The sequence below is a fragment of the Homo sapiens genome, chromosome 11, assembly GCF_000001405.40.
Source record: "Homo sapiens chromosome 11, GRCh38.p14 Primary Assembly".
Taxonomy (NCBI): domain Eukaryota; kingdom Metazoa; phylum Chordata; class Mammalia; order Primates; family Hominidae; genus Homo; species Homo sapiens.
Window position 1 is genome coordinate 95,079,642 of NC_000011.10, and position 12,646 is coordinate 95,092,287.

General features: G+C 46.0%; 1 protein-coding gene across 1 annotated transcript in view, besides 4 other annotated features; it reads left to right on the forward strand.

The window, feature by feature from the left end:
- Nucleotides 1,490-1,690: a silencer, noted in NCBI's record as "peak1405 fragment used in MPRA reporter construct". NCBI's record gives its function as "represses an SCP1 promoter by STARR-seq MPRAs in K562 erythroleukemia cells {active_cell/tissue: K562}" and the evidence as "EXISTENCE:reporter gene assay evidence [ECO:0000049][PMID:32103011]".
- Nucleotides 9,607-9,886: an enhancer, noted in NCBI's record as "active region_5412". NCBI's record gives its function as "activates an Ori minimal core promoter by ATAC-STARR-seq in GM12878 lymphoblastoid cells {active_cell/tissue: GM12878}" and the evidence as "EXISTENCE:reporter gene assay evidence [ECO:0000049][PMID:35858748]".
- Nucleotides 9,957-10,016: an enhancer, noted in NCBI's record as "active region_5413". NCBI's record gives its function as "activates an Ori minimal core promoter by ATAC-STARR-seq in GM12878 lymphoblastoid cells {active_cell/tissue: GM12878}" and the evidence as "EXISTENCE:reporter gene assay evidence [ECO:0000049][PMID:35858748]".
- Nucleotides 10,027-10,456: a silencer, noted in NCBI's record as "silent region_3846". NCBI's record gives its function as "represses an Ori minimal core promoter by ATAC-STARR-seq in GM12878 lymphoblastoid cells {active_cell/tissue: GM12878}" and the evidence as "EXISTENCE:reporter gene assay evidence [ECO:0000049][PMID:35858748]".
- Nucleotides 10,205-12,646, forward strand: part of ENDOD1 (endonuclease domain containing 1) — a 42,800-nt gene continuing 40,358 nt past the window's right edge. The window contains exon 1 of the mRNA NM_015036.3: nt 10,205-10,586. Coding sequence (NP_055851.1) covers nt 10,287-10,586 — 300 coding nt within the window. The 5' untranslated portion in view covers nt 10,205-10,286. The remainder of the gene's footprint in view (nt 10,587-12,646) is intronic.

Genomic DNA, 12,646 nt, shown 5'->3' on the forward strand with positions numbered 1-12,646 from the left:
TCCATGCTGCTCGTCTTAGAACCCCTGGGGAAATGTGTCTTCTGTTGGGAGAGTCAGCCTCAAGTTCAGTGCCAAAGCTACATGGACTCTCAGAGCTGCTTCAGTCCATTCCTGGTTTCACTGCAGCCCTTTTGATCACTTTCTCCCAATCATGCTTGACAAATGGACACAGATCACCTTTCTTGGTAGCAACGGCTGCCTTAGGGTACCTATATTCCTTTCCTGCCAGTTCTGCCAGGCATAGGATGAGCCTGCAGAGATATGGGGGCTGGCTTTGATCACCCCATTGGCTGCCTCACTCTAGGAAGTGGGTGTGACTTACTGTCAACCCTCTCCCTTCCTCTGTCCATGCCACTGACATTACTTGGCTCCTTTAGGGAGCAGGGTCATTTAAATGCCATTTGATATGTTCCATTCTCTCTTCCCACTATCCAGCCCCCTGCCATATACTGAACGTGTCCCACCAAAATTCATATGTTGAAACCCTAATCCCCAAGTGATGGTATTTGCAGGTGGGGTCTTTGGAAGGTTTTTAGGTCATGAGGGTGAAGCCTTTATGAGTGAGATTAATGCCCTTAAAAGGAGAGATACAAGAGAGATTTCACTCTCTGTCATGTGAGGACATACCAGAAAGGTGGCTGTCTCTAAACCAAGAAGAGGGCCTTCATCAAGAGCCGACACCTACATCTCAGACTTCCCAGCTTTGGCACTGTGAGAAAGGAGTGTTTGTTATTTAAGCCCCCTAGTCTAAGGAAATTTGTTACTGAGGCCTGAGTTGACTAAGACAGCCCCCAAGGAATGCTCTAGGGGAGTGGGAAAAAGGAATAAAGAAATAAATTATGAGTATCCATGATGTGCCAAGAACTGTGTCTAGCACTTTCTATACCTCATTCATTTCCTCTCCCAATAGCTCAGTCTGTAAAGTAAAGCCAATGGAGTTTTGAACCCTAGCTCCACTATTGATTAGCATGACTGTGGGCAAGTAACTCACAACTCCAAGGCCCAAGTGCCTGGAGAGACAGAGTAGCAGGGTCATTACTAGCATACATCCTGTGTCTAAACCCAGCTCTGTGCTTGTAAACTTGGTGGCCTTGGCAAGCAACTTCATCTCTATGTATTTCAGCTCCTTCTTCCCCAAAATGGAATGATAACAGCAGCACCCAGGACAATAAGGGTTGTTGTGAAGTCTAAAAAGCTAATATAAGTAAGACACTTTGAGTAGTAAAGAACTCAAGGTAAGAATGAGCAATTATTTTACATCTTCTTGTTGAATATTTTTAAAAAGTGTAACTTGAGCACAGTGTTTGGCAGGAAGAAACACACATCAAAGTCTTGCTGTTATTGATATGATTTTATTATTTTAATAGTAATATCATTACTTTTATTGCTATTGCTATTGTTACTTTCAGGCTTAGAGGTGATAGGCCCGCTATCTTCTCTATGGAAGTACTAGAAGAGAGAATGACAAAGCACAAGTGCTCCAGCTCCTTGTCACCAAAGTATGGGCTGGGATCCTGCAGCATGGGCATCATTTGCAAGCTTGTTAGAAGTGCAGAAGCTCAGACTTCGGCCCTGACCTATGACTCAGATCTGCATTTTTAACTAATCCTCCCAGGTAAATCAAGGACAAGTTTATGGTTGAGAAGCACTGCTCTGGCACATTGGTTCTCAGCCTCGGCTTCCCATTAGAATCATATTTGAAACATACTGATGCCTGGGCCCCCATCCCCTTGCCCCCCCGCCGGAAATTCTGTTTTAATAGGCAGGAGTACAAGGGTTTAAAAGCTCCCTGAGTGACACTAACATGCACTGAGGGTTGAGAACCACCCATCTAGCATTTGGTCCATGGGGAGTTTGGCTGCAGGCGCAGATGGGAGTCTAGTTTGTTCAGCAACTGCCAGTGAGAGTTCTGGTTTGTTTTGCTTCTTTTCAGGCCCCAAAGGAAGTGGAAGTACAAAGGGACATGAAGAGGGCACATTCTTCTCTCCCCACACCCACCCTTCCCCCGTCTTCATTCCAGCTAAAAGGACACATGACAAGGCTGGGACAGGCTTGTCGGCCAACGTTTCTGTTTCTCTGTGTTGCACTTCACAGCATCCAAGCTGTACTGGCTGGCTGTGTCTCTCTCACTCAAGTCACTGTGCCAGCTGGGCTTGGCTTTTCTGTGGTAGAAGCTTGTTCTTCCTTGAAATGAGGTCCTTCTCTTGCTTTTCTGTTTTTGCCCACTGCTCACAGCACCCAGATGTTGCTTGGTTGGAGAAAACTCGACCAGAGATCTCCTCTCAACCTCTCATGTGAGACTCTTGATGCCTGGTGGGAAATCCAAAATCCCAGCAGGCTCTTGCAAGTTATCTAAGTGAGTGTTGCTGTCAGGACAATGGCTCCTGCCTCATCATAAGGCCAAGGACTTGGACAGTGGGGGTGACTGTTGTTATGTGGGGATGAGGGCCATGTGGCTGCCATTTTTTGAATATTCAAGAGAAGCTTTGAACTTGGAATTTTATTTTAAAATCTTTAGGTTTTTCAATGTTGGCAGCTAATTCAAAAAACTTACAAGCGCTACTGGCCAAATTGACCTGCTGGCCCACTGACCTCTGAAACATTCCCTGCTTTCTAAATGACCCATTTGGGTTGGGAAGTTGCCCCAAGCCATGGAGACTAACTTAAATAATCTCACTCTACTTCTGGCACTGGTAGAAAAGGTAAAACACCTGGGGTCTTCTGAGTCATGTGTCCAAAGTTTTTAATTCAGGTGACTTGTTCTGGGCTTGTTAGTCAGGCAGATCCTCTGCCAAAGGAATGCCCTCCTATGCCCAGGCCCATAAGTGGCTGTTTCTAATGGCACCATCCAAGTCCTCTGTGTGTCCTGGGGTCGCAGTGGACCTCTATGTCTGACCTGGGGTCAAATATTGTAGGAGTTGTGCAGAGTATGTCATATTGCCCTGGGAGAGCTGAACACATGGGAAGAAAGAAAGGCTTACACTCTTCAGTCTTCTCCCTCCCCTCCTCTCCTCCCTCCCCTGAATAATAGAGAGCCAAGCATTTGACAGAGCTCCTTGTTCAATGCTTCCATGTCTCTGCTAGTGATCAAATGTTTCTCCCTCAATATTCTCTTTATACAAGATGATGTGACGTGAGTTTGTTGCTAATATTAGATTTGCAACAGATGCCCTCATTGTTGGGTCCTGGGTACATGCAGAGCAGATTAATAATCCAAAGACAAAGGCCTCAAATGCCCAGTGACTTTAATAACAAAACTTGCTGCAAGGGACAAGGGCTCACTCTGCACTGGGCAAGGTGAGGGGGACGGGCCTGCAAAAGGCCCAGAAACTGAGTCCACCATCTAGATGCCATTGGAAACGTAGGCGGAGCTGTTGGTGGGAGGTGGAAGGAAGCACCAGGAAGAGGCATCTTCAAGGGGTCACAAGCAATAATATTCAGGTCTATGGTGAAAATGACAAGTCATCTAGTCACTGCTGGTGGCCAAAATTTGGACCCAGGGGAACCAGGTAGCAAGCCTAAGAATTCAATAGATATGTCAATGGACATAGACGGTTCCTTCTGCTCCTTTTCATTTTTCTTAATAAAGCCTTTTTAGACAAATCGTAAACCTCCATGGTTACAAACCAAGAACCTCCTGGGTCTAACTAAGCATGAACCACTAGGATTTTCTGCTCCCCTCCTGCTTCATCTTCAGAATACTGTCATCTCACCTCTACAAGGGAAGGTGTTTCTTAATATCTACCAATGTGCTTTTTTTTTCTAATTTTACTTAGTTGCCTGAACCTTATGGAAGTTAACATTGCAAACCACGAAAGAGAATGTGTCTATCTCTCTTTGTCGCCTCCTACACATAGGCATTTTCTTAAGGAGTGTTCCTCTGCCCACAATGATCCCACTGCTATTGCATTGGAAAACTGCCTGAGACTTAATCAAAGTCAATGGATCAAGGGTATTTTGGTCTTAGGGAGTTGTACTGGAAAGGTTCTGTGCTTCAGAGGTCCTATCTTGATTTGGAATTGAATTGTCAGGTTGCATCCTGAAGCTAACCAGTTTATAAACTGAATTTACTCTTTCTGAAATTATAAACCAGAGCCCTAAAATACTTGTCTTGTAAGTTCCAGATTTTCATAATTCTGTTTTCTCTAAGTGAAACTCTGCCCATCTACTTATAGAGATGAAAGAAAGGACTAGCATTTATTGAGTTTTGCTATAGGTTAGATGCTTCATATTGGTTATCTCATTTAATTCTCATGTCAATAATACAAAATAGGTATTACTATTCCCATTTTACAGATGAGGAATTTGAGGCTCAGAGAGCTCAAATAGCTTGTAAGTGGCCGAGCTCAAATTTAAACCAAAACCTCCTGATGCCAAGACCTGTGGTTTTTCCATTTGTCTGTCTTTTTGTTTGGGAGTCTTTTATAATTCCCTGATGCTGTTACATGTCAACTAAGACAGACACATACAGACTTAGAGATGGGACTAAATGTTTTCCCTATTTTTTTCTACCAATTAAAATAAATAGCAATTGTTTTAACTCATAAGTAATTACAATGAAATTGTTACTTAGGCAGGTGTATTTCTGAAATAAATGTATAAAGTTCTGTGTTGAAAATAGAGATGACCTGGTGGTAAGCTGAGATTGTGGGTTCCAGGATGGCTGAGACCATGTTTTATACCCTCTGTGGCCCCAGCAATCTGCACTGAGCCTGGCCTGTGGGGTCCACTCGGTATTTGCTGAATGAAGGAATAAGTTTCTCCTCTATCCACATCCATATTGATGTGAAGTCTGATATTAGTTTTTTCTATTTAATGTGGTAAAAGACCCAAAACATCAAACTAATCATCCTAACCATTTTTTAAATGTTAAGTATATTCACATTGTTGTGAAAAAGATCTCAAGAACTTTTTCATCTTGCAAATTTCAATTTCTATACCCATTAAACAACAACTGCTATTATTTTTAAACATCATCCACATTTAGCTTTACTAGAAAGAAGACAGCTCTGCCCACATTTCAGGTAAACATGACTCAACCTCCTGCTGCTTATGCATCAGCAACTCTCTTGACTCAGTAAAACACTGTCTGCCACCCACACATGGGTTCAGCCAGGCAGGCTCTCTTTGATTTGGTCATTGTTAGAAAAAAAAATCAGGCATTCTAACCCCAATAGGAACTACTCCTCAGCTTCCTCACCTCTCCTGGTAATCCAAACTGTATTAGCTTCCTAATCATTTGGCAATTCCTTATATGTGCTAGAGAGACAAGAGAGGAGAGCCAAAGAAGTAGCTCTAGGGGTCTAGAAATTAATTGTTATTCTAGTTTGTGAATGATGTTTCAACATATCTCATAATTAAGTATGATTTTCCACCATTCCCATTGTCTTTCCAGAGCTTCTCCGCCTAAATTATACTTCTCTGCAACACAACACACAGTACTTCCCTTATCAGAGCATTTCTCATGCTGTATTGTAATTGCTTGTCTGTCTGTCCTCCGTACCATACTTCAAGTTCTGTGATGCCAAGGTCTGTGTCAGTCTTGCACTGTAATGAAGATGGGTATAGCATGAACTCAATGTTACAGAACTCACTAGCTGCATGAAGATTTCTCTGCTTTGCTCTGCCCTAGTCTAGGGCAAAGCCACTTGCAAATAATTAGCTAGCTTGTGTTTTCTCTTCTGGTTGCCCACATGACACTGAGAGGTGCTGGCCTGAGTGCCAGGAGAGCAGGAACTAGGCTAAACTTTGCTTCCCTTAAATACCCAGCATCTAGTGCCATTGCTGGCTCATGGTAGATGTTCAAAAAACATTCTGAGGATGAATGAATGAATTAGAGCAATGAAGACCCAAATGAAGTTTCATAAAGAAAGTTTCTTTCATTCATCTACTCACTCACTGTATTAGATGCTTACTCTATAGTAGGCACTATGTTCATGACTAAGGGGAAAGGTAGCAGTTACGAAACGGGGTTACTGGCTTAATAGGCATAATTAGAAGGGGCTCTTAACCTCATAGAGGGGAGGAGGGAGTAAAGTTGAGGACATGCTTGTCAGGAAGGTGAGTGATTGAGGAAGTGATGGTCAGCTAGACTATTGGGAAAAAAAAAAAAGCTAGATGAAATGAGTGAAGGGATGAGAATGGGTGGTGAGAATTCCAGGACAAGGGAAGTAGTTTATGATGCAAAGTTTCAAAGACTAGAGAGAGCATCAGGCTGAGTTCAGTGGCTCAAATCTGTAATCCCAGCACTTTGGAAGGCCAAGGCAGATGGATCGCTTGAGCTCAGGAGTTCCAGACCAGCCTGGGCAATATAGCAAAACCCTGTCTTTACAAACAATACAAAAATTAGCTGATGTGGTGGCACACGCTTGTAGCTGCAGCTACTAAGGAGGGTGAGGTGAGATGATCAATTGAACCCATGACATTGAGGCTGCAGTGAGTTGTGACTGCACCATTGCACTCCAGCCTGGGTGACAGAGAGACCCTGTCTCAAAAACAAAACAAAAGAGAGAACACTGTGCATTCATGGAAATATAAGAAGCTGAGCGTGTGGGCAAGGTGGGAGTGGAGAGAGATGAGGCCTGAGAGGGAAAGGCCAGGTCTCTGGGGTCATGGAAGTCAGCTAGTATGTCAGGCTGCATCCCAAGGTAAATGGAGAGTGATTAAGTGCTGTAAGGGTAGGGTGACATCATCAGATTTATGTTAGGAAGTCATCCCAGCTGGAGAGTGGATTAGAAGGGATGACGGGATAAAAACTGGGCATGACAAATGAGGATGGCTTGGTCAAAGGTGTGATGGTAGAGATGCAATTATCATCAGAGCAGTGAGGCAGGGGAAAGAAGTGTCTAGTTGGGCTCATATTTTTAAATAACTTTGGACAGAACCAACCAAGCCACAGAAGTGCATGTCAAATGTTTTATTCCACATCAACCATTACTTTTCATCCTCAAGCCTTTGCTGAAGGCTATGGAACCCAGCTTTGGCTGGGTCTGAGTGCAGAGACCTAAGAGGATCTGGTTTGAAACCTCTTTCCCTGTGAGAAGAGAGTCAGTGACCAAATGTAGAGACAGCAGTGAATTATTGATGGACCTACATGTTTTACACATACAGATGCTGCTAAAGACAGTTTTCCCCTAAAATCAGCAGTTAGCAAATGTTTTAATTAGATCAAGGCATTCCTACCTTGTAGGTTGTTCCAGAATCTTGGGGTGAGAACATTTGTAATTTGCAAAAGTAATATTTTATCTGTGGAAGGCAAGCACATGGAAGAAAAATCTATTGTCTTGTACTATAAACTAAAGAAAATAAACAAAATCATCCTGGCTGTGGGATGTACAAATGTTCAGTGTTATATGTGTGTCAGTCACTGATAGAGGGCTGGGGAAAAAACTAAAGTCTGCCACAGGGACTGAGTGGCAGAGATATTTATGCTTATCAGAGGTGGCGGGCAGGCATCAAGAAATTTTGAGAAAGTGAATTAAAGTCTTATAAATACTTTAGTCATAAAGGCCAATGATGATTGTATTATACTTTCTGCATTTGTTAAAATACAACATAATCATATTTGGCATCTAATCACTCCAGATTTTGTGGTAGCCACTGGGATCCACCAACCACCTTTGTCCCTAGGAGCACATGATTTAATAAAGAAGACAGATACAGGGACTATTAACACTCTACCATGATAAGTATCATAACAGATAAATGTTTAAAGAACTCAGAGAAGAGAGGGATGGATTTCTAGTTGTTCAACTGTGTTTATATATCTTTATGGTAGACATCATAAGTCAACATTGGGGAACCCTATATTCAACCTTATAAAATAATGTAAATATTTTTAAAATCCTGTAAAACCTATAATCCTCCCAGCATCCCAGGAGCAGCATTGTCCCTGTGGGAGGACTTGATTGAAGCCTACAAGGATGAGATGACTGAGATACTAGTACCAGATGATCAGGGTCATCATCCAGATCAAAGGGGACTTCAAGTCTAGCCTCTTCTGTGACATCACACTAAATGTGTCCCCTCCTTTTTTTAAAAAAACTAAGATACAAACTTTGGTTTCATTTCTGGGACCAAACATAGTCAACATTTTCCGGAATTAAAACCTGTAAGAAATTTGTTCTTAAGTTCCAATGTATAATCTCTTGAAGAGCTTCCTTCTTTATGGGCTCACCTTACAGATGCGCTGTGAGTTAAAAGAAAAGGCCAGGCTTGGGAAGCAGAGAGACCTGTTTCAAATCTGTCTTAGGACTCACTGGCTGTGCCAGCTTAGGCCAGAATCAACAGGCTCTGGTCTCAGTCCCTGTAGTGGCACACTGGGGAAACAGATGACATCGTAAGATGAGCACAGGCCCTGGCCCTGGGTAGCTGCCTTGACCCTATCTCTGCTGCCACCATCCTACCATCCTGGTCCAAGCTACCATCTCTTATCTGGATTGTGGCAATTATGGGGTGTTTTTCTTTTCTTTTCCTTTTCTTTTTTGAGACAAAGTCTGGCTCTGTTGCCCAGGCTGGAATGCAGTGGCACAATTTTGGCTCACTGCAACCTCCGCCTCCTGGGTTCAAGCGATTCTCCTGCCTCAGCCTCCCAAGCAGCTGGGATTACAGGTGCCCGCCACCACACCCAGCTAATTTTTTTGTGTTTTTAGTAGAGACGGGTTTCACCAAGTTGGCCAGGCTGGTCTCAAACTCCCGACCTCAGGTGATCCGCCTGCCTCAGCCTCCCAAAGTGCTGGGGTTACAGGTGTGAGCCACCCATTTATTCTGTGCCACTTCAATCTACCAGTCTCTTCCCTGATAGCAAAAAGAATCGAGTCACCACCTTTAAAAGATGAAAATCCTCAACATGATTTACAATATTTTTTCCAAACTGCAGGTCATGAGCCATTAGTGGCTCATAGAAACAATTTAGTGGGTCAACACCAGCACTTTTTTAAAAAAGTGAAGTAGAACAGAAATATGAAATTGCAATGCCAATCATAAGCATAAGAATTATTTCATCAAACTTTTCTCATTATGGGCCTTCTCAAAAAGTGTTTGAAGGCCTCTGGCCTATAATAACCTGAGTAATATGACCCCTGCCTCCTCCTTTAGCCCCACTTCCCATCATCCCCCACGCGGTTCTCCGCGCTTTACCCACACTAGCCTTCCTTAAATTCCTCCAATACATCATGTTCCCTTCTGTGGGAGACCACTTAGCACATGGTTTTCCTCCTTGCCTAGTTAATGTCATCCTCCAGGTCTCAGCTCAGATGCCACTTCTTCAGGCAAACCTTCCCGGATTACATCCTGAACCCCTGTAGCTGTCAGGGTCTCACAGATCTGTGTTCAGTTTTTAGTTATCCCTTTAATAGCATGTTTCCTCGGTTAATGACAAACTTTCCCACTAGGCTGTCTTTGTGACCGCAGGAGCCCTGCTCTTGTTTACCCCTGTGGTAATCCAGTGCCTATCTCAGGCTGGCACCTAGGCATTCAGAGGGATAAATGAAGGAAAGAATTGGCCAACCTGTTGACCAATGACGTTGGCTGGCCTCCTTCCTTGCTTGGTATCGGTTTTGTTTCTAACACTTGCACCAAGAAAACCACACAGGGTTATACTGTCTGCCTAGTTTAGGAACTTCCTTTAACAGTATTTCTTTACTCTCTGAGTTTCTGGTGAGCTAAAAAAACATAACAAAAAACAAAAAACTCCATCAAAATTGTATGCGTGTGCTGGTCGTTGAGTACTTCGGTGGAGAGTGGGAGACGCATCTTCATGAAATTTCAGAGGGGAACTCTGCCCATCCACTCCGAACCAGCCGCAGCTCCACGAGCATCTCACGCCACCCCTCTGCATCACCAGGGCGGCCGTGGGGCGCGCGCGATCAGCAGGCTTCTTGGCGCCCAGTCCATGCGACTATCTCTTCCCAGCCCCGGGACTAGGCCCGCCCCACTCGGATTCTCCACTCTTGGTAGCGCGCGTCCCCCGGACTGCTGAGACCAGGCGGCGCGGAGGCAGGTGACCCGCGTCTCCAGTCCCGGGCGCAGCCCAGGGTACGTTGTCAGCATCGCGGAGCGCGGCCCTGGGCCTCTGCAGCCATCTTCAGGGAGGGAGGCGCGGCCTCCCGACGCGGACCCGCCCCCGCCGCCCGGGCCGCCCCGCCCGGCTCCGCAGAGCGCCGCGCCTAGGTTGCGACTTCCCTTCCCTACCCTGCTCGGCTGCGTAGTGCGCTCCCCGCCCAGCCTGCAGAGCTCGCGCCGCGGCAGCCCAGCCGCTCGGCCCCGCCGCGCTCGCAGAGGCCGCCATGGGCACCGCGCGCTGGCTCGCGCTGGGCAGCCTCTTCGCCCTGGCTGGGCTGCTGGAAGGCCGGCTCGTGGGCGAGGAGGAAGCCGGCTTTGGCGAATGTGACAAGTTCTTCTACGCCGGGACCCCGCCTGCGGGGCTGGCGGCCGATTCCCACGTGAAGATCTGTCAGCGCGCGGAGGGTGCTGAGCGCTTCGCCACCCTCTACAGCACCCGGGACCGCATCCCCGTGTACTCCGCGTTCCGCGCCCCGCGCCCTGCGCCCGGCGGCGCCGAGCAGCGATGGCTGGTGGAGCCGCAGGTAAGCGAAGTGGTTCCCGAGCCGGGCTGCGGGCGCCGGAGACCGTGCCGCTGGACATGCCCCCAGTTGCAGCTACCGCGAGGGGCGGGCCGGGAACAGCAATCCCTACGCCTTCGGTGCCTTGGGCCAAGAAACCCGGGTTCCAGGTCCACCCTGTTGCGTCCCCGGAGTTAGCCTGCCTCGCCCCTGTCGAGCTACAATAAGAGCCTGGCGATCTGCGAGCCTTCACTTCATGAGCTGCAGGGCGGGAGGTCCCCTGTGGGAGGAGGTTCTCCCTGCATTTCTGAGCAGACATCCGCAGTGTTTCATTCCTGAATGGTGAAGAGCTTGATACAGAGACCCTGGAGACCGTTCAGATCCGCAGAAAGCCTAGGCTGGGCGCTCACAGGCCTTCGTGCAACTTATTGCCATAGCACTCATTTGGAGGTGGGTAGGTGGGCATTTTCATCCCCATTTTACAGAAGAGGAGATAAACCCAGGGGGTGAAGAGACATATGGAAGACTACCCAGTTAGTAAGATGGGGCAGGTCTCTGTCTAGAAATTCACTGCCTTTTCTACTAAGTAAAGCTTCTCTTCTGCAGAGCTCATCCTAGCCTGAAAATCCTTCCTCTACCACGGCGTTGAGTAAATTCGATCTGCGGTTGTGTTGAATTAGAACAATGAAATAAAGATACAGATTTTTAGAAACGCAATGGGGTAGTTAAAAATGATAGGGAAACATTGACTACCTCCAACTGATGGAAAGATAAGCCAGTTTTTCCTGACTCCTCATATCTATATTATCATACCACTAGGAAATCGTGTCACCTCTCATGGTGTTCTGTCCCGTCTGGTAAAGGTGACCAAACACTTGAGAAGCCCTCAGAGTCTTCCGAACCTGCTGGCCTGCTCTTAATACCTCTCCTCAGTTGGCCTCCTCTCTAGAACACCCTGCCAGACTCCCCTTTGCCCTCTCACCAGCCTCCCACCCCTGCCCAGGCTGCTGGGGGAAGAACTGACCCAACGCTCTCCCTTTCCTGACGGCCACAGCTGCCCAGGACCACACCAGTGGACAGGAGGCTGGCTTTCAGGTGCTTTATTCAGAGCCTGTGGGTTGTAATCTCATTCAGATATTTCTAGCTCTGAGGTCTTGGCCAGGTCTCAAACAATCTGCACCTAGTTTTCTTATCTTCCTCACATCCTTCCACCTACCTCAACTGTTGATAACACTTGTCGAGATCAGGCATGTGAAAAAGACGTTGTCAGTTGCACACACAAGACACATTTAAATCCAAAATTAGTTTTCCACCAGCTGCACCCCTAGAGCTCACAGGGTGTTCCCCACCTCTCATCTTGCATTGTGATTGTGTGCCTGCGAAGAAAACAAATGAGCTAGTTCTTTCCCCTTGATCTCATGGACAGCTTGGGGAGACAGAACATACGTCTGAGGAAATCATGGGAATGGATGCTAAACAAATTTCAGTTAAATTCAGAACACATTTAGTGACTCCTGCTGTGTGCCAGATATTTGGGACCAAGAGATCTGAGTGCAGTTCTGGAACAAAGGCTACCTGATCTGCAGGTGGAGTTTGCTGGGTGGAGAGGTGGTGTAGTATCTGATTAGAGCCATGCTATGTGGGTTCATATCCTAGTTGCTCCACTGACTAGCTATGAACTTGGGCAGGTTAAATTGGAGATAATAGCATAGGGTGGTGTGAAGATTTAATGAGTTACCATATATAAAGTTCTCAGGTGTGTGACACATGAGTACTAAGTACTAGCTGTTGCTATGACCTAAGCAAAAAACCATAATTTAATAAAGGTGAACAAAGTCCTATTAGATTTAATCTGTCTTTGAGGTGATGGAAGCAAGCCTTAGGGTCAGGATGACATTTCTGCTGTGTGTGGAAAGATAAGGCAGAGTTTAGAAGGGAGGCAAGGAGGAGGACATTTCAAGCAGAGGGAACAAACATCATGAGTGAGAAAGGCATGGCAGATTCAGGGATTTGTGCGTGAAGAAGTTGGAACAGGTAAACTAATACAAATAGATGAATGCACTCAATTGCTCAGAATAAAAAGG